Here is a 22,413-nt window from a genome sequence, read left to right as displayed (position 1 = left end):
AGCTCCCAGCTCATATTATGAGGCTACTATAGCCTTGATTAAAAATCAGATCAGGAAAATACAAGAAAATAAAATTAGAGATTTATTCATCTCATAATTATACTTGAAAATATCATAATTTTTTTCATTCTAAAATATCATTAACAACATTATAAATTTTAATACACAAATATAAAAATTGTTTGCAAAATTAGAAATTAAAGAGGTTTATCTGACTTAGTAAAGCTTATATTCCAAGTATATTCAGCAGGCATCATACTGAAGGGAGAAACTTTAGATGCATTCCTCTTAATATAGAAAAAAACACAAAATGCCTCTGTGACAGAGGAACTGTTTAACACAGCTGTAAGGAAAGAGAAAGAAGAGGAGTTATACAGAATGAACAGGAATAAGTCAAAAGAATATAACTTGCAGATGATGTAGTCATCTACCTAAATGTAAAAAGAAATAGCAGAATCAAAAGAACTAGCAAACATAATTCACCAGATGTACCAGATAAAGGATGAATCTATGAATTTCTCAATTAATAAATTCTAACAGAAAAACAAACCAACAAAAATAGAATAAAAAGTAGATAGTATACACAAAGCCAACAAAATTGTAACAATATAAGAATCAACCAAGAATCTATATAGCAATTTTCAGGAAAACTTTAAAATTGAAAAGGAAACAAAGTATCCTGAATATAGGGATAGATATTTTATACTTTTAGATGGAATGAATTTATATGAAAATTATGTCAAGTCTCCCCAAATAAAATAAAAAATTAATGCATTTTTAAATCAAAATGCTTTAGGAATTATTTTTAAAACTTAAAAAGTTACTTAAGACTTGAAAGCCTAAAACTCTACTTATGAAAGAATAATATGTTACTAATAGTTAAATTTAAAATATTAAAGAAAGGGATTTGCCTTATTGGTTATAAAGACATATTTCTAATTTAAAAATACTATTTTATTGGCACAAGAACAGGCAAATAAAACATAATAGAAATCTCACCAACAGATCAATATATGTTATGCGTTCAAATTCACGATAGTTTAGGGGGGAAAGTTAGCATGGTGAAAGGTGGGTCATTACATAAAGAAAACTATAATATATTATTTAAGAGGCCTGAAGCCCTAAATGTGAAAGACAAAATATCGTTCAAGTGATAGAAGAAAATGTATGAGAATGCTCTATTACGAAAAGTTAGGGGAAGAGTTTTTGAATCAGTTTTGTAAAGTACAACTCATGAGGCAATAAATAAAATGCATTAATTGATTGATCAATAGATTGATTTTGTGCTCTGTGTTGCATTCTGGTTGACACAGTGATTTTCTGCCTTACATTCACGACCTAAATTAGAACCTGTGACTCTTTCAGGCTTGTTCTGAGTTCAGTCTCCGACTATTTTGCGGCCATGTTTACAAGTGATGTTTGTGAAGCCAAGCAAGAGGAGATCAAAATGGAAGGCATAGACCCCAATGCTCTCTGGGACCTTGTCCAATTTGCATATACAGGTATGGCAAAATAATTATAACATCATTCTGATGTCTTATAAATTTTAGCTCATTTCCTTTAAGTACAGGATTTAACGCTTTTTTAAAAAAAATTCTGTATTCTGTATCTTTTCAGTTGAAAACTAGTAGATCAAAAATCAGACTTTTTGTTGTCACTGAAATTACAAATGTATATATGTATACATATACATTTCGTTCTTCCACAAATGATTTAAACTGGCTTAAATAAATATGTAAATAGTAGAACCTGGGAGAGAAACAGGGTGGATACAAATTATTGAATAATAATTTGTTTATGTCCATGTTTGCTTAGGAAAGAAAAGAGATTCTAATTGTCTTTTCTTTTGGAAATGATGGGTTCAAATAACTTTTTCCCTGGAATGTGTTACTTTAACGTAAAAATTTTCACGGAATAGTTAATGTGGACTTGACAAATCATTTGAAATGGACAATAAAGGTACTTAGAGTTGTGCAAATGACATTTTTCAAGTTTTTTTTTCTGATCTACTATGTTGACATTTTCTATTAATCTTTGTATCGTGTTATTAGTGCATTCAAATAATTTTGCCATTATAGCAAACATTTGTTGAATGTTACTCAATATACAAGTATTAATTGTAGTATTAATTGTATTTGTAGAGAATAAACTAATAAATCTGTGTATTGCCCTCATGAAGCTCACAGACCAAATGAACAGAAGATGTAGATGAGGACATAAATGTGATATAATGCCAAATGTTAAGAGAGTTAGAAGGCATACAACACACAGAGCATTATCAGGGTTTACACTTTTTAATAACTATTTACATTTAGCAAGAAGAGGAGGACATAAAATCTTGTGAAAGAAACCAAGGCAGACAGTATATATTGATGGTTTGTTTTATGTATTATTTCTTATAAATGGAATGTGGTTCATTTTACCTAAATTCTTCATACTGGTGTGAGACGAAGAAAGGCAGGTTCTGGCCTAGTTATCAAAGCAGCAGGAACGTAGTTTAAGGAGTTTTATTTTTTACAGCATTTCTGCTAACAGAAAAACAAGAGGTGACATTGTGAAGATCAGCCACTGGAGTCCAAACACCTGGGAACTAGGAGGACTCTGTCCTCTTTTAGGATTTCACTTATATTGAAGAAGGATTTGCTAACACTAAGATAACACTCAGTAAAAAAAGCTTCCTGAAAAAAAAAAAAAAAAAAGTACACATGCTCTGACTGCTTAATCTCAAAGCAGCAATGTGAGGAAAATACTTAGACATTTTTTGGTCTTAATAGTTTTAAAGTAATATTTTGATAAAGAGAAAATCGTTCTAGACAAAATTATACAGGTAAAGAAGACTTTATTCAAGGATATTGTATTAGGAGAGAGACCCAAACTCAGTCTGAAGTTTACTGAAACGAAGGAAGGGAGGATTTTTAAGTGCCAAGGTCAGAGGGAGAGCACAGGCCAATCTGTGTTTGTTAATTGGTTTTACTAAAGAAAAAGTAAACTTTCTCATCTTTGCGAGAGGATAGTTTTACAACTTGAAGCAATTTGTTCACCCAAGTTAGTCTTCTACTCTCCTCCAGAAACTGGGGCATAGGGGAGCTATTTCCCTTGATGTTTACATTTCAAAGATACAATGTTCAGGCCTTTGGGGGGAAAAAAAAAAGTTACGGGTTGTAAAACTAGCAAACTAGCAAGAGGTTTTTAAAAAGACTTAACATCTCAAAGGATTAGAGAAAAAATTACAATTCCATGTTTTTTTTTTTTAATGAGTAGTCTGAAAAAAGAGGGGTGAGCATAGAGTCAGGAAGAATTCTATCCAAAGTTTAGTGAAACTGAGGCAAATTTTAAGACCATCTTGGTCAATTTCAATTTGCATACAACCTGAAACAGTCATATGGAGGAATATTTACCTCTGAGCCAAGAGGTAGCCAGGATAATTACGTTATTGTTTCCTGGAAAGGGAAGAATCATGAAGCTAACATTTTAGGAATCCTTCCAGCAACTAAAAGACAGAGATCTAACAACCTAACACTTCCAGGCTCCATGGTCTGGCAGTCTTGCATTTCCTGTGTGCAAAACTAGGTCAAAAGATACTCAGCATCCTGCTGTACAAAGTTGGAAGGTGTTTCAAAGCTCCCTGCTGAAATAATGACCCAGATTTGGCTCTGCTTGTAGAGGGCGGACAGGATACAAAAATGCCTCTCAGCTGCCACTGCCACTTTGGCCTGTGCTCCAATACCTTAAATTTTTAGTTGTGAGTTTACAGAAATGTGTTAGATGAGGAAAATATTTATCAGGTATTATTGGAAAAATTGCAGGCATGACATAAGGCAAGTATCTTGCTTTTTGTCATATACAATGTAACAAATTATAACAATAGAAAAGAACAAGTGATCAGTTGTATAGAAAGGGAAGCATAGGAGGTAACTGTACTATCTACCTAACTCACCAGCTGACAGATATCTAAGACTTTTCTTTAAAGAAAGCTAAAAATAAATATATTCCAGAAAACAGGAAAAAAAATGAATGAGTGGGAATAGATGTAAAAGTCCAGCCATTTGATAATATGTATTTTTTTTTTTTAATTTTAAGGTTTGAGAGGCTTTGGTGAAACTAAGGAGGATCAACTATGTCAATGATTGATAGTTAATTATTAGCTGTAGAAGCAATGTGTTTAATAGAGATAGGTCAGAGTGCTTTCAAATGATTTAAACATATAACATTTTATGAACTCTGAAAAATGTGTAAGATTTGAAGGAACCAGATGTAGGTAATTTATCTTATTAAGTTAGAAATTAAGGACAAAGTACATGGATAAAGAAGGCTTAGAATGAATGTTTGAGATAAGCTTCAATGATTATAGTTTATAATCTTTGAAAAAATAACTTTTATAGAATTTTATATAGTAAAAAATTGTACATATTAAGATATGGGAAACACTCTCCATGTTGAACTCATCCAACATTTGTTACCTGTAGTCCAAAAAATTAGATGAGAAGCAATGAGATCAGGTTTTTCAGAGAAATTCAGTAAGAACTAAAGCAAACATGTAGACTTACATTATTATTATTATTATTATTATTTGGTAACTGGTAAGAATGGCCTTGGTATCATTGAGAGACAGCAATGGTGATAACAGTTCACAAGAAGTTTCTTAAAAGAAAAAAATATGTAAAGGTTAATACTTAGCAATATGTACAACAGAGTAAAAACCCAGTAATGTCTTTGTGACAAAAGAATTTAAAAAAATAATAATTCTTGCAACTATTTAGGATAATGATGAGGTTGTGAAAAAATGATGACTACTTTTAAGGTATGAAGTTAGTTTCTTTACTTAAAATAAACGACAACATAAGTTCAGTTTTTCCCACATTGTAACAGCACAGAAATGGAAAGAAAATTTACACTGGTGTTAGAGAAATAATTATAACTTAATATGAAGTTCATGTCATTTTTCTAAATTCTTAATTAGCAGTATAAGCAATTTCAATTTTTCTTTTAAGACTTTCAATTGGGTTTTCTTCACTGTTTTCTACTAGAAAATCTGCTTGTGATCTTAGCCATTTGTAAAGAGAGTGTGTTATAAAGTAGTGCCGTTTTATAATTGGTATCTTAAGTTGTAAAGAAAATACTTAGTTGGAATTCAGATTGTATATCAGTACTTATAAAATTGTATATCAGTTTTTCAAAATCAAATCATAATTCTGCTAACAATATTTGAGCACTTATGGCATGAAGAGGGTCACGGTGTATATTAGAAAAAGACACAATGTAAACTATATATGTCGATGCTCCTTAGCTTACAATGGATTTATCTGGATGTGCTATCCTCGTTGTAAATCAAGGAATATAGCGAATGCATATCACTTTCATGCCATCATAATGACCAAAAATTGAAAGTCAAATCCTGATAAGTCAGGAACCATCTGTATAGAAAACTGATAGAATACAGCTTAAAATGTCATAAGCCTTTAAACAAATTTGGCAACGCACAGGATTATGTGGAGCAGGGCATAATGCAAAAGCCCTTTACTTTTGTTTTTAAAAGTAGTAAAATCTATGTATCACTATCTACTTGTTGGCATTCTCAGTTTAGATGTGTCAAATTGACTTAAAAACAGTTTCGTGAGCATTTTCCTGTACCTAATGCAGCTCCTATTCTGTACTTCCATTTTTCTATTAGTTTGAATAGAAATGAAAACTGAGATATTATCATTTAATCTTCAATAAGCCTTTGATTTGGCAGGGTGAAGTTAAAGTTATTCAGGAGTTATTGCATGCGTCATCCTCAGAAGCATGAGGTCAGAGATGAAAAGATAATTAGGTCATACAATATCTTATCACTCTATGTTCAAATCACCTCGAGAAGTAGCAATGTCTAGAACTTCAGATATTCCATCCTGAACATTATACATTTTACAGACGAACGTTTTCTATGCTAAGCATGTGCAAAGCAGAAACACCAAAATATTTTTTGAAAATTACATATTTCATATTTCAAATAAGCATTTGTAAAATCTTCTTGAGATAGATCACAAATGTGTTGGTCTGTTTTAAATTAATATGAGGACACAGTTATATATTCAAAGCCTCTAAATTTCTTAATGCTGCCCAATCAATGAGGTAAAAGTAACCTTGAAATGATCAATAGTAAGCTGTTGACTCTGTTACTGGAATAGGAACATCAGAACTTAAATTGACTGGTATTGTCTTTACCAGATTTGTGTACTTTTATAGGGTATCAGTTATGATACGAGTTCCTTGAAGTGACTCATCGCTGTCTTGCTCTCAAAATAGTTTGAGTAGCTTAAACTGACTATCATATTGCTATATAGTGGTTCAGTGCAGGTTTGGTTCATAGTTTCTCCCCATCTAATGCTGGTTCCCTTTAGGTGTCAATGGTGCCTCACAATTTAAGCATATTAATGCCTAATGGTCTTTGTCCTGTGAATGCATTGAGCAACTCTCAAGTTTTACTATATGTATGTCTACTATGTACTATGCCTTATGATGGGGTCTGAAAAACAATATGCTGAATTATACATGTTCCTTACCTTTAAGGGTCTTCAAATTTAGCACTAAATACAACTTTTTGTTATCTTATTTTGGTTTAAACATTTTTGTTTTATATATATATCAGATATATAATAAATATATATATCAAATATATATAAATATATATATCATATATATCAAATATATATATCAAATATAAATATATATATCAAATATATAAAAATATATATATCAAATAAATATATAAATATATATATCAAATATATATAAATATATATAAATATATATCAAATATATATAAATATATATCAAATAAATATATAAATATATATCAAATATATAAATATCAAATATATATATAAATATATATCAAATATATATAAATATATATATCAAATATATATAAATATATCAAATATATATATAAATATATATATGCTAGTATTTTCTCATTTAAAAATGGAGCAAAACAATTTTTGATAACAGCAAATATTGATTTTGAATCCACTTGCACACACATTAGGATTTCAATCACAGCCAAAAATGGATGCTCACATTTTGAAAGGAAAAGAAAAACTATAATATATTTGGAAAGGATGCACTGAGGTTCACTATATTTTAAAGTTGCTCTTAGACTGATAGAAATTTCCTCCTAGTTTATCTCTTACATAGTCTCTACTATCCTGACATACTTGAAAATACACTGTGTTCATTGATGTGTAAGAAAATAGAGTTCTAACAAATATGGGAGATGGAATTGCAGAGTTACTAACAAAGTGTCAGGTCCTGTAGAGAACTGATAAGCACAAGGTTTAAATAAAGGAAGCTGTCAATCTAGTAGTGATATTAAGAAGAGGGTTAGGAAATTAAACTGCCAAATGGCAGACCTTTAATCATATTGAAGTGTTAACTTCCTTGTAGAAAAAGTTTGTGTGCCACTGAAGTTAATTAAAGTCTTTGTACCTGCTAAGAAATGTTAAGATAGCTTCTGCTTACTGCCAAACATTTGAATGAAATAAATATACACACATAGGGGCTGAGATGTTTAATGTCCTGCTTTAATATTAAAAAGTGTATATCAGCCTGGAGCTTACCATTTAAACTCTCTTCAGAATTTTTATTGTAATTAGAAGTAAATTATTGTTTCATTTTTATTACTGGTTTAATTCAAGTGGCATGAATTATGCAAGCACATTAGTACATTATTAGTTTTAAACTTAAGGCTTTTACTAGATGGAAAATTCTATTCTTGATTTAAGAGACTGAGCCTTCAAAGACTGGTTTTATGTATTATTATTGCCCATTATTTAAAAGTGTTGATTTAAGCAATTTTCAGAGGGTGTTTAAACAACCTGTATATTCAGTAACAAAATAAAAGTAATAAAAATAAAATCAATAATATAATTTTTATATCACAATTAAATCCTTACCTTTCCATCATTTTAGCAAGAAACCTTGTTTCATTTATGCATATATATGTTTAAAATGTGTGTGTGTGTGTGTGTAAAACATTTAGTACTATCGTATGAAACTAATTTGGGAAAAGTATTGTGCCAAAATAGACAATAAAAACTATTTCAATTTTGTGACTGTTATGAAGCTTTTTGTTGTTGTTATTGAACAGTGTTTTGGCTTTGTGCCATGGGGCTTAATAGAGAGACTGCAAAAGAAATAGCTAGGTGACTTTTAATATTTAGGAGTAAGGGTTATGTATCTACCACAGTGTAAGTCACAGTTATTTTCTGGGTTTTGAAGTAAGAAAAATCTCTTGAGTCCCATAATCAACTTTACTTCCTTAAACAATCTGTTTGGATTTTATTTTATTGTTGCTCTCAGTCTTATAATTGTTTTCATTTTCCTTTACTTTGTGAGAAGCTAAGAATTGAATCATTGAATTGAATTCAATCACCATTTTTCCAAGTGTTCAGGGTACCTGCTATGTATTTTCCTACTTTAATCATAAGGTTCACTATATTTTCTTAGGCTTTTTCCACCTGTACTTTCAAAATACTTATACACTTTATTCCTTTGTATTTGTAAGTGTAGTGTGTAGAACTTAACACTAGATATCCAGGACTTATTTTGGCCTTCACTTGAATTGATATGCAACTACCACTCAGTGTGATGTGGGCAGCCCAGTGTTCATTCTGATCCTTGGACATTTATTCTAATTGGCATGCACCTATTTCTTGCTTCTCATTAAGTACTTGAAATATCTCTTGGGCTTCTCCATTTTACAGTTATGGATCTTGGTCAAATTACTTAACTTTATGAAGTCTTAATATTCCTTAAATGTAAAAAGGGAAAATAATAGTCTTTAAGTGAGAGGGTTATTTTAAGGAGCAAACTTATAAAATTAAGCTAGTTTAGCATAAAGTTTAGCATGCAGCAAACACTCAATTATGATGATTATTCATAATGTGTGATTTTATAAGTTTTTTCAAATCTTTTTCACAATCCTTCATAAGAATAAAAGTAACATCTGAGAACTGGGAGAGGATATTCACTTTGCTTATCAATCATTTATTAATTTTGAGTCCAATTTATTATATGTTTCAGCATTATATGTTTTTTAATTCAGATGTATGATTTGGTATACATGTATAATGGTGAATTTTTTAAACAACTAGCTTGTAATTTTGCTACCTTGTGTATTTGAGATGGATTTTTATTGTATATTCATGATTTTATCATATTTTATCTTAATTGGTCCTTACAGCAACATTCTGAGATAGGTAGGTAGTCAATATCATATTGTCAGATACAGAAATGGCATCTTAGCTTACATGTCAACAAAATTATTATAAGATGTAAAATCATGGCCTAATTTTTCCATGGACATTTTGACATCTTTTCTACTAGATCTAGAGTTATTCAACATTCTGTCTGCTTAATATGAGAGGCAGCGCTGCTCATAATTACTTATGTCATTGTCACATTGAGTGAAAAGCATGACCTTCCATTGACGTAGTAACAACTGGCATCATATATTTTTTTCTTACAATTAATATTGTTGTACATCAAATGAGTAGCCTGAGGAAGTTACATAGATGATACCCAAATGGAGAATTGTCATTGATGCTTCTTAGCACTATTTAAAATGTTATCCTCAGACTTGCGCATTCATAATTTCATAATTTTAAGTCTAATTTTATTTTATTATATTAATCTGAAGAAGAATCATAAAAATATTACAACATTCAATTATTAACATTTTCAAGAACTTTCCATGCAAATCTTAGCTATGCCTCACAGTATTCAACTTTATCTTACAAGTGAATCAACTAAAGCACCAATTTCCTAAATGTTTTTAAATAATAACCATCTTTGAAAACATTATTTTACTTCAGTTTTGACTATTTGTTAATATCTTCCATTTAAAATTTGGTAGAGATGATATGATTTGCTGATAGTATGGGGGGAAAACAAGCAAATATAAACAAGCAAAACAACCCTGTCATTTCACCCTTCTTAAGACTTCTGTAAATTACCACTTAGCCATTTTTAATGAAGAGTCCATTTTCCCATTATGCTTGGGAAAGGACACTTATAATGGGAACACGAAGCACTTTAATTTTAAACACTTTGTCTCCCTCAGTTGAAGGATGCTAAGTGCAATCCAACCAGGAAAACACATGTTAGCTGGAAGTAAACTGCATGCTGAAGATGTTCTGAAGGAATACCTTGATCACTGATTCCTTTGGATTGTGAACTTGAGTTTTCATCTCTGCATATTATGGCTATTATTTCACTCCTGTCACAATACTCAACCAGAGAAAATGTCCTAGCCAAATGGCACTTACATGAGTCTGATGAACCTGTCCTACCCCATATTTTCTTCTCTAAAGGAATGTTTAGGTGTGGTGAGAGGAGAGGATAATGCAGAATAAAAGTTAATAAAGAAATTCTAAAGACTGGTAATGGGATTCAGTCTTACAAGAAAAAATGTAAAAACTATTTTGCATTTGTCTAAAATATAAGTTTATTCCTGATAGATCCATGCCTGAAAAACGTAAATACTACTTGGAAACATATGCCATTGATTATTTTCATGTGTTTTCCTGGGCTATGCACTCTGCTTTCTGATTAATGAGCATTTTTGATTAACTGACAAATTTGACTAATTCAAAAACGATGTAATAGGACATTTTTGAATCATTTTTACAAATTACTATTTTATTTGCCAGATTCAGTTAAACAAAACATATTTAGAACCTTGTAATCAAACCCCCTTGCTTACATTTATTTAACTTAAGTTTTCCACATCTTAAGATGGCTTCAAAGTGCACTATCCAAGAGGGGAAATAACAGTCACATAATCTATGACATAACTCAATGTGCTCGGATAGTGTTTTCAGAAAGAATTGCATACTTATCAGAAATTCTGTATCTGTATGCTCCCTCGGCAGCACTCTGTAACTATTGCACTTACAGTTCACTGGGGCTAAGAAATATTGATTTTAAATATGGATTATGAGATGTGAAGATTTCAAGAAAGGCATGAATGTTCGCAGTCAGAAAATAAAAGTGGTGATCTTTAAAAATGACCCATAATGGTAGCAGCAAGGTAAGGAGGTAACATATGAAGCATATTTTGGAAACCAAGATAGAGCATCATAAAAAATTACCTGTTAAACAAAAATACAAAATCTTTGTCAACACAGAACCTCAAGAATAAAGAGGAAGTGGGTATGGTGGCCTCACAGAGGGTAGGATGGTAGAACTCCCAATCTGGGCAGAATGTGAGATAAACTATTAAAACTGCCAACATTTTTCTTTCCACATCAAATCCACCAAAGTCACTGAATAAAATATTTAAGCATCTCAAGACGGAAGAGCTCTGCAGATAACTTCAGTATAACCTGGTTCTACAGAAACATGTTCCTACTAACTTGCGAAAATCTGGCCAGTAGAAGTTGCCTTCTTTTATACTTACCACTTTCTATCTCCCTTCTAGTTTCCTGATGATGTAGAATATAAAGGAAAGAAAAAATAAGCCACTTGCATAAGCCAAGTTATGGCTTTTGTCTTAGTTTTATTTCTAAATATCCATGGTGTATAAGGCTTTGTAAGTCAAAAAATACTGGGAAAGGCATTCAAATTCAAATCAAAACAATTATGGTGTAATTTTCACAATAAGTAATGTCTTAAAACTCTGTTTGTATTCATAGAAATGACATACCAATTAGTTTTTCTTCTCAGTCAACAAGACAAAGAGGTAAGCATAATCAGTTATATTATAAACTAAAGGCAAACATTTTCCTCACCATAAACACAGGTGTTGATATATTAAAATCTGAGACAAATATTTCATTTGAGTATTCAAAATATTTTAAATATACATATAACACTATACAAGCTGCTTTAGACATCTTCAGTATTTAGCCAAAAGTGGATATAACAACGAATTATAGAACTGTTGCTTCTGTGGGCTGATTCAAGTTCAAATTATTTTGTCCAGGAGCACAAGTCTCTAATAATTTCATGCATTAAGCAACAGAATATTTAAATCTGAAAATCAAACTCAACTGGGTTCAAGGTACAATTATTTTAAAGGGAATTGAATTATCTCTGCCGAATTCAAGAGTATATGTTCTACATAAAGGTATCCTAAATTAAAATAATGACCAAAAGAACATATCTGTGATAAGTCTGGTGCTTAGATAGACAAATTATGTTACTTAAGTGAAGATTTAAATAACTTCTACGACCATGAGTTAATCATTATTTTTTCACTGTTCTTACAATCAAAATTTCCTCGAGTGTTGCATGACATGCTGTTTTAGGTTAAACTCCATGGAAATTAGTGAGAGTGGAAAAAATCTATGGAGTTGATTAGGGACAGAGTCATAAACTATAATAAATTTGAAGATAAGACATGTTCTCTATTGTTAAAGTTGAGGGAGCTTAACACCTGTGCATCGATGTGAGTCAAGGGAATGTTGCTTTTACTCTGAAAACAATTCCTTGTTCTCTTCAAATGATGGATATGTAATTAGAGTAGCTTTAAAGAAATTTAAGTAAATTTGAGCTACTGGCATGTTTAATTCTTACCTATCATGCAGTGGACTTTTATAGGTATAAGGTGGACAGAAATAGAACGAATAATGACTTGTATTGTCGCAGCTACTTTTGAACTGCTCTTTGCATAGCCTTTTCTGACTTTTCTAACAGTTTCTCTTGAACTCTGAGATGTAATTAGTACTCAAAAAACATAACCATGTCTTTCTTGTGGGTGGAAGGCATGTATGACATGGTTTACAGATTAATTAGCTCTAGGATTATAGAATTTCATGGGTAGAATTTGTATTCTGTTTTCTAAAATCATTTTGCGGTAATTTTTAGAAGACAACTAGGATTTTCTCTCTGACAAGAGAGAGAGGAGGCCAGAGTGCCAATAAAGAGGTACAAATTTGCAATAAGGAATAATTTTGACAGCAAAATTCTAAATTGCAGTAAAATTTAAATGTCATTGTTAACTGTTAAAAATATGTGTAAATTGCCTAAACTAAAATCCCTTTAACTCTCCTTCCTTTTTTGAAACATTTATTCAAAAAATCCTGTGAAATGACTGATATAAATAATTGAATACACCAATAAATGATGGAGAATAGACAAATTTCCCACATAGAAGAATTCAAAAGTATTTATGCCAGTTATTCCACCGTCATGGAGATAGAGTACAACTCCCCCCTCCGTAAGTGTAGGCTGTGCATAGGGACTTTCTTCCAGAGAGTACAGTATGTAAAGGTACTAAAGAATAACATTACAGTGGAGAAACCTGACATACACTACCTCCGCACGTGATCAAGATGACTATCACCAGTGATAAGTCACGTTGATAATGTTTCTTAAATAGCATGGGATGAGACAGAAACTTCATTCATAACCCCAGTCTAATAATCAGCAAAATATCAATCGAAGAACATTTTATGAAATATTAAATTAGTACTCCTCAAAACTGTCAAAATCATTAAAAAAAGGAAAGTCTGAAAACTTCCGCAGCCTAGAGTTGCCTAAAGAGACAGAATGAGTAAATGAGATGTACTATTCTGAATGCGATCCTGGAACAGAAAAAGGACATTAGGTAAGAAAAGAAAAAAAAATCTAAGGAATGTAAAGGAAGTACACATTTTAGTTAATAATAATGTAACAATATTTGTTCATTAATATAACACGTATATCATACGAATGTAAGATGTTAATAATGGGGGAAACAGTTATATGTCATATGGAAAATCGCTGTACTAGCTTTGCAATTTTCTGTAAATCTAGAAGTATTTTCATATAAAACTATATTTTTAAAATACCTATGAGTTACTAAAAATGTCAATTTTGAGGTTTGAATTTCTAGAGTGACATTGATATTGTTTCTTCTTCAATTTAACAGAATGATGATAGATAAAATTTGATTTACGTTGTGAATTTTATAGGCAGTTTTTGCACTTTTCTGGTAGAATGCACATTCCTAAAACAATACCTTTGGAAATATACATTTTCAATATAACAGACTTTGTAGATGAAAGATGGATACTCTGTGCATTTGTTAATAGGGGATGATGTGTCTAATAAGAAATAGAACCACATTGATACATATTCTTCTATAAACTTCACTTTTTCCTTCCCATTCTATTTTACATATTTTTATGTCAATGCAGTATAAATTCAAATATCTTATAGAAAAACAGAGTTTAAGTCTACTCATACATATTTGGAAGATTTAGTGGCCTTAGCATTTACTTAAGATGTGATTGTAGATAAATGTAGCACACCTTATTGGAACCCTATTTAAAAAGTATTCCCCGTTTAGTCCCCCACTTGAATCAGAGGAGGGTGACTCCAATTTTATAAGCAGTTTATAGGATCAAAACCAATTATTTGTGTTTCACCCCTTTCATAATGATAGAGTTAGGCATGATTATGTGACACAATTTTTGCCAAGGCAGCATGGAGAAAAATTTCTGGGGATTCTTTGGTAAAAGTTTCTTCACTGATGTAAGAGATATATACATAAAGAAATAGTTACTCTTCTGCTACGTGCTTTCCTGTCTGAATCTGAAACCTGAAACTATGGCAACTATGAGAGAAATTGAGGAAGTCACTTGAGATGCCTGTTTCCTTATGATGTGTTGACCGTCTCATTAATTAACTCTGGAGACAAAGTTCCTCTGGACTTGCTAAGAGAGATTATAAACATTTCATTTTTTTTTGAAAACAATCTCTAAAAGTTGTCTTTTGTTAGAAACATTGACTTCTTACGTATATCAAGTTTAATATGGCTATCATGTATTTTTAAGCCAGTTTTCTATGGCATCTAACTAAAAACATGTAGGTTTTCCCTTTTAGTAAGCTTATTTGAGAACGTTATGCCTTGAAATCAACTGTGAATGAAAATGTAGAATTACTTTTCTTTCCATTAGCAGTTTTCATGCTTTTTTAAAAGTTAACTTTTAAGTCAAATACTTGGCTGCTTTTTGCCTTTTTACATCTAGGTCTGGCCGAGAAATACAGCATGCATGAGGTAGCTTAATTTGTGTGCATTGAAGCTTGACACTGGCTAATATTCCATTTGTGACTTCTGGCTTTAACAAATGGATTCTTTCATTGGATATAGTCCAAGTTTTAGAAAATAAAATATTAAAACTCTTTGAGAAAAACAATGGTTATAATACTTAACCTCCAAAGCTAGCAATAAATAAAAATATTATTCTACATATATCTTGTGAAAATTCTTTTTTTTTCTTTTTTGGGGAAATAATTGAGAGATGATCTGAAAAAAAATCTGTCTAAATTATTATGAAGTGTATTATTATCAAGGGTTTGAATTTAGACTGAATAAATATGTTTCAAGAAAATGTCGTAAAAACCCTGTAAGTTATTACATTGACATACTGCCTCTGGATCTTTTTTCAAGTGTTGATCTGGGAAGTAAAAATACACACACATATAAAGAAATATAGTAATATACTTTTCCAATATAAATGGTCAATTATACACCATTTGCCTGAACACCCAAGCCAAACTATGTGGAATCCTCTGGGATTTTATTCCTCACTGTCCACATCCAATATTCACTTTATCAGTCAGAGTCCCAGCAGAAAACAAATGAAACACTGAAAGAGCTTAAAGGAAGAGAGTATAATAGAGATATCAACAGGGTTCAGAATGTTCACAAGGGGTGATGGAAACACACAAGAATTAGCCACAGTGACGGAATAGGAAGAAGATCTTCACACACACACACACACACACACACACACACACACACACACACACAACACACACACACAATTTTGTATGGCAGGCTCAAGTTTTTAAGATATTAAAAATATGTTTTTCATATGATAAGTTGGTACAAAAGTAATTGCAATTTTCCCATTGAAAGTAATGACAAAACCCACAATTACTTTTGTACCAACCTAATAATACCATATGTGACTTGTCATGACTATAATCATGTTTTATATATTGCAAACATTCAGAAAAATTATTGGCCAGGCATGGTAGCTCATGCCTGTAAATCACAACAATTTGGGAGTCCAGAGCAAGAGGATGGCTTGGGGCCAGGAGTTCTAGACTAGCCTGGGCAACATAGCAACACCTAATTGCTACAAAAATAAAAATAAATAGCTGAACCTAGTGGTGCATGCCTGTAATCTCACCTACGTGGGAGGCTGAGGCAAGAGGATAACTTGAGCCCAGGAGTTCAAGCATGCAGTGAGCTAGGATCATGCCACTGCCCTTCAGCCCAGATGACAGAATAAGACCTTGTCTCAAAAAGAAAAAAAAGGAGAACAAAGAAGAAAAAAAATCACAATCCTCAATGTAAATTATAATATCATATATTTGTTTGATTTTTCTTTGCATTTAAGCACTCAGAAAATGTTTCTATCTACTTGTCAACTCAAATCATTTATTAAATATATTTTGAAAATACAGTTGAGTATTCTTTTTTAAAGCTTTATTGATGAATAATCAAGATATAATAAACTGCACATATACAAAATGTATAATTTGATAAGTTTGGCTTATGTATATACTCACCACAAAGTAATGAATATATCTATAATCGTCAAATGTTTTCTCATGTCCTTTTGCAATCTATCTTGTTGTTCTTCCTTATCCCCACCTAGTACATAAGCATCAGTGATCTGACTCCTTACATACCAGATTTTTTGGGATTTTCAAGAATTTTGAAGTTAATCATAGAGTCTGTGTTTATTTTCTGTCTGGTTTCTTTCACTCAGCCTAATTATCTTGCACTCAACATAAGTAACCATGGTATTTCATAATCAATAATTATTTTATTTTTATTATTATGAAGTATTCCATTGAATAAGCATACTCTAATTTTGTTTATTTATTTACCTGTCATGTAACATTTTAGTTCTTTCCAGTTCTTGGCCATTGCAAAATAAATTTTCTGCAAACATTCATGTACAGACTTTGTATCAGCATATTCTTCCTTTACTCTTGAGCAAACATCTAGGAGCAGAATGGCTGAATCATAGGAGAGATAAAACTGCAGAATTGTTTTCTAAAGTAGTTGTACCATTTCACATTTCCACAAGCAGTTCTAATAGAGGTGTTGTGGCATGTCATTGTGTTTGTAATGTGCATTTTCTGAAGCACTGATAATATTGAGCATTTTTTGTTCATATATTTTCTTTTGTGGGATGTCTGTATAAATCATTTGCCCAGTTTTTTAAAAATTTAGTTCGAAAATTCTTTATATATTCCGTATATAATATTTTATCAGATATGATTTGCAAACTTTTTTCCTGGTTTATGGTTCATCTTTTTATTCCTTTAATAATATATCTTACAGTGGCTTTTTTTTTTTCTTTCTTTTAACTAGAGGCAGGGTCTCATTCTGTCACTCAGGCTGGAGTGCAGTGGCATGATCTTAGCTCAGTCTTGCAGGGAATTATATGAAGTCTAGTTTCTCCATTTGTTCTTTGAGAAATTATGTTTTTGATATTTTATCAAATAAATTTTTAATTAACAAAGTTTGGTTATGGAAGTTTTATAGCTGCCGGGTGCAGTGGCTCACGCATGTAATCCCAGCACTTTGGGAGGCCAAGACAGGTCAGGAGTTTGAGACCAGCCTGGCCAACATGGTGAAACCCCGTCTGTTCTAAACATACAAAAAATTAGCTGGGCGTGGTGGCGGGTGACTGTAATCCCAGCTACCTGGGAGGCTGAGGCAGGAGAATCACTTGAACCCGGGAGGTGGAGGTTGCAGTGATCCAAGATGGCGCCACTGCACTCCAGCCTGGGCGACAAAGTGAGACTCCATCTGAAAAAAAAAAAAAAAAAAAAAAAAAGAAGTTTTATAGTTTAATGTTTGAATTTAGCTTCGTGATCCATTTTGAGTAAATTTTGTATATCATTTGGGGTATACATCAAATACAAGTTTTTGTACACATATCTGACTCATTCAAAGACAATCTTTTCTCAAATGACTTTTGTGCCTTTGCATGAACTTTGTAATCAGTCTTAAAATCAGGTAGTGCTCTTATTCTCACTTTGTTATTTTTCAGAATTGTTTGGATTATATAGGTCCGTGTATTTCCATATGAATTTTATAATCAGTTTTGCAATTTTCACAGAAAGTCTACTGGGATTCTAAATGTTATTGTAGTACATCTATAGATTAATTTGGTGTGAAATGAAATCTTAGCAATATTGATCTTTGAGCTTCTAAGCACAGCATGTCTCTACATTCCCCTACCATCTCAGGACTTCTGATTAGAATGCTATGTTGGGTGATCCCCAAGACTAACGCCCCGTTCAGTGATGAACTGGGATACTTCACAAGACTCAGCATGTAGTTTTACAAATGGCTATGAATTGTTACGGCAAAATAATACATAACACAATCAGAAAAGGTAAACTACCTATGGGGCGAAGGCCAAATGAAACCAGGTACAGACTTCCAAGGGTTCCCTTCCAGTGGAGTCCCACTGAAGATACTTAATTTTACCTTCAATAAGTTGTGACAAAGTGTGTGAAATGTCAACCAAGGAAGCTCACTAGAGATTCAGTGCCTGGAGTTTTATTAGGTGTTGATCGCATAGGCCTGCATCTAACACAGAACAAAATTTCAGACTCCCAGAAGGGAAAAAAGGTGTTGCTCATATACCATATTGTTTGTACAGTTTAGGCACAGTGAGTCGATTTTATCAGTTAATGATGAGAATCCTCTTGAAATCTAAGTTCTCAAATACCAGCTGGAACAAACCTTGAAAGCAGGCCTTTCAGAGGATGGTAGTAGTTCAGGTCTGCTGTGCTCATTCTTTTCTGCATAAATTATATTGAGAGAAATAGTTAATTAGATTACAGGAAGTCACCTTCCCAATATTCTAAAATCACAGTAAAATGAAGTCAATAGAAACCATGCCATCAGCATGTAGGTCTTCCGTCTGATTTTCTCTCAAGATCTATGCTAAGAAGCATGCAACCGTCTTCTTGACAACTTTACTGAACAATTTAGGTAAAATTCCTCTGAAGTTTTAAGTCAAAACAATATGTTGAAGGGTATATATGAATAAAAAAGTGTTATAATCAGTTTAAAATTAATAACAGATTTTAATGTGTTTGTATTATTTTCTCTATTTTAACTTTATTTTTATAACAGCAGATACACATTTCAAAAAGAAACAAAAATTGATATACAAATATAGGTTTCTGTAACCTATAGAATACTTTTTGCTCATGCTTGCTATGGTATTTCACAAACCTTAAAATATATATCAATAGTACTCATGTAATCAGTCTTAAAATCATTCAAATCTATATTTTAATATATAATAAACATATTTTCATATTACTCTAATCACTGTATTTTCCAACCTGTTTTCTGCAGTGTATCTGCTCTTCTTTTTCCTTCATCAGCTCACTTTTATGCTTGGAGGCATGCTTTAGATTTCTTTACTGTCTTACTTTCAGTGAAAGTCATAAATAAAATATAATAGTCTTTTTTATCTATTAACCATGTTGTCATATTTGAAAGCAAAGCCATCTATCATCCAACAAATTCTTCTTTAATTATAAAAAAATTAAATGAAGAAATCTGTCAGATACTGCCTAAAACATTGTATGACACTCAAAGCCACCAAAAATGGGACACACTGACATCATGAGCCTCTTGATCATGATGGAGCAGGGTACAAGATCACCTATACGGTGTCCTTGCAAAAAAGAAAAAAGAAAAAAACTTCACCATAATCTAATAAAGGGGAAATAATATAAGTCCAAAAGGAGGAATTCTGCAGAACAACTAGTATGGATTCTTCACCAACATAAATTTATAGATGAAAAAATGGCAGAGGAACAGTTCTAGATAAAAGGAATCTAAAGGAACACCACAAGTAAATGTAACATATAATCCTTGATGAGCTCTTGAATTAAAAAATCAAAGAAAGCTACACAGCAAACTATTTGAACATTTGGGAAAGTGTATGTCATAGCAAATATATAAATTTCATATATGATAATTATATTGCCACTCTGTTGGAGAATACCTTTGTTCTTAGCTGATAGATGCTGAAGCATTTAGGGGTGACATGTGATGGCTGAAAGTAGCTCTCAAGTAATTTTGCAGCTACAACATAAATACACACATACACATACATATAGCAAAATGTTAACACTGGGTGAAGCCAGATGAAGGTTATATGGGTGGGTTTTGCAAATTATTATAGGTTTAAAAAATTTCAGAAAACAAAATATGATATGGAAAAAATAGTTATTATGCATAAAGGACTTTCTTAATAAATATTCTGTCCAAAAGTTTTGAAAGCAGATAACTTTTTATTATGTCATAAAACTATTCATGATGAAAAGGAGAAATCTAAGAGAAAATGGTAGTAACATCACAAAGTTAAAAAATATACACAAACTGGCAATAATATACTTTTAAATTTCAATTAAATAACAGCATAATTAGAGTTAGATAAAATTACATTTTTCCTAAAGTCTTATATTCAAATTTCAAATTTAGTGCAACCTGCCTTCCAAGCTCACCAATAAACTAAGACATTCCTTATATGTAGGCACTAAAGGCTGCCATTGATTATTAAAAGCTGCAATGTATGCTTTACTCAGGCAAAAAATATGTATATATATAAATGAAAATATAAATGAAACAATTCAAGCTTTAGTCAAATTTAGAAGATTCAGAAAAATGAATAAAATAGGATATTATTTTCTCAGGTTTAAAATTCTTAAGATTTTCCTTTTAGAATAGTTTCAGTAAGATTGGCACCAACTCTCCTTTGAATGTCTGGTAGAATTGAGCTTTGACTCCCTCTGGTCCTGGGATTTTGGGGGAGTTTTTTTAATTACTGTTTCAATCTAAGTACTTGATTGTTCAGAGTTTTTATTTCTTTCTGATTTAATCTAGGGGGATTGTATATTTCCAGGGATTTATTCATCATCTCTAGATTTTCTAGTTTGTGCACATAAGGTGTTCATAGCAGCCTTGAATGATCCTTTGTGTTTCTGTAGTATCAGTTGTAATGTCTCCCATTTCATTTCTAATTGAGTTTATTTGGATCTTCTCTCTTCTTTTTTGGTTAAGCTCACTAATGATCTAAGAATTTTGTTTATCTTTTCAAAGAACCAGCTTTTTGGTTCATTTATCTTTTGGATTGCTTTTGTTTATTTGTTTTAATTTTATTTGGTTCTGCTCTGATCTTTGTTATTTATTTTCTTCTGTTGGGTTTTGGATTGGTTTGTTCTTGTTTCTCTAGTTCCTTGAGGTGTGACCCTAGATTCTCTATTTGTGCTCTTTCGGACTTTTTGATATAGGCATTTATAGGCATTTATCGCTATAAACTTTCCTCTTAGCATCACTTTTGCTGTATACCACAGGTTTTGATAAGTTGTGTCACTATTATCATTCAGATCAAAGAATTTTTAATTTCCACCTTGATTTCATTGTTGACCCTAAGATCATTCAAGAGCAGAGTATTAACTTCCATGCATTTGTATAGTTTTGAGGTTTCCTTTTGGAATTAATTTTGAGTTTTATTCCACTGTGGTCTGAGAGGATACTTGATACAGTTTTGATTTTCTTAAATTGATTGAGACTTGTTCCTGGTCTATCTTGGAGAATGTTCCCTGTGCTGATGAAAAGAACATATATTCTGCAGTTTAGGGGCAGAATGTTCTGTAAATATTTGTTAAATCCATTTGTTTTAGGGTATAGTTTAGGTTCATTGTTATACAATTATATACAATTGTATATACAATTGTACAATTATACAAGTTATACAACTTGTAAAACTCACTTAGGTACAGATAGTAAATCTAAATGATAATAAAATCATCTAACTCATTGAATTACTAATTAAAATGTAACTCCAGATAGTTAAGTCCATAAAACTTCAAAGATAAGTTCTATAAACATTTGACAAACAGATCCCTTTAAAAAAATTATTCTGGATATTAGAAAAACAGAGGAAACACTAAAGCACTAAAGAGCCTTTTTTTTTTTTTTTTTTTTTTGCCTTTAAGATAAAATGACCAAACAGGGAAACAAAAACAAAGAAAAAACTAAAAACCAAAATTATAGACAATTTTAAACATGAGTACAGTGGGTTAAGTACAATACTACCAACCTGTAACATATGCATTTATAAATGTATATACATATGTTAAATATTCACAAATAGATATTTTATATTCATATACACATATATACCTTGTCAGATACTTAGAGAATCTCTGCTCTCCTAAGTTTGTAGGCATATATTCTGAACCTTATTTTTCTATTTTCCTTATTTCACAATCAAAGGAAGAACTATCATTTCTGCTGACGTGTATACAGATATGTTGATTGAAACTGCATTTGTATCTACTGAGTGATTTTGAATATTACATGAAATACGAAATGCAAAATTC

The 22,413-nt window shown here is 31.5% G+C and overlaps 1 protein-coding gene across 4 annotated transcripts in view; it reads left to right on the top strand.

Moving 5' to 3' along the window:
* The window catches only part of KLHL1 (kelch like family member 1), a 407,856-nt gene that overhangs the window by 145,643 nt on the left and 239,800 nt on the right, over positions 1-22,413 (top strand). For all 4 annotated transcript variants that reach the window (NM_001286725.2, NM_020866.3, XM_017020678.3 and 1 more), the window contains one exon: positions 1,366-1,502. In NM_001286725.2, the coding sequence (NP_001273654.1) occupies positions 1,366-1,502 (137 nt within the window). The remainder of the gene's footprint in view (positions 1-1,365; positions 1,503-22,413) is intronic.

The sequence above is a fragment of the Homo sapiens genome, chromosome 13 (genome assembly GCF_000001405.40).
Source record: "Homo sapiens chromosome 13, GRCh38.p14 Primary Assembly".
NCBI classification, from domain to species: domain Eukaryota; kingdom Metazoa; phylum Chordata; class Mammalia; order Primates; family Hominidae; genus Homo; species Homo sapiens.
The sequence above is the reverse complement of the archived record's forward strand: the minus strand, read 5'-3'. Positions and strand labels throughout refer to the sequence as shown.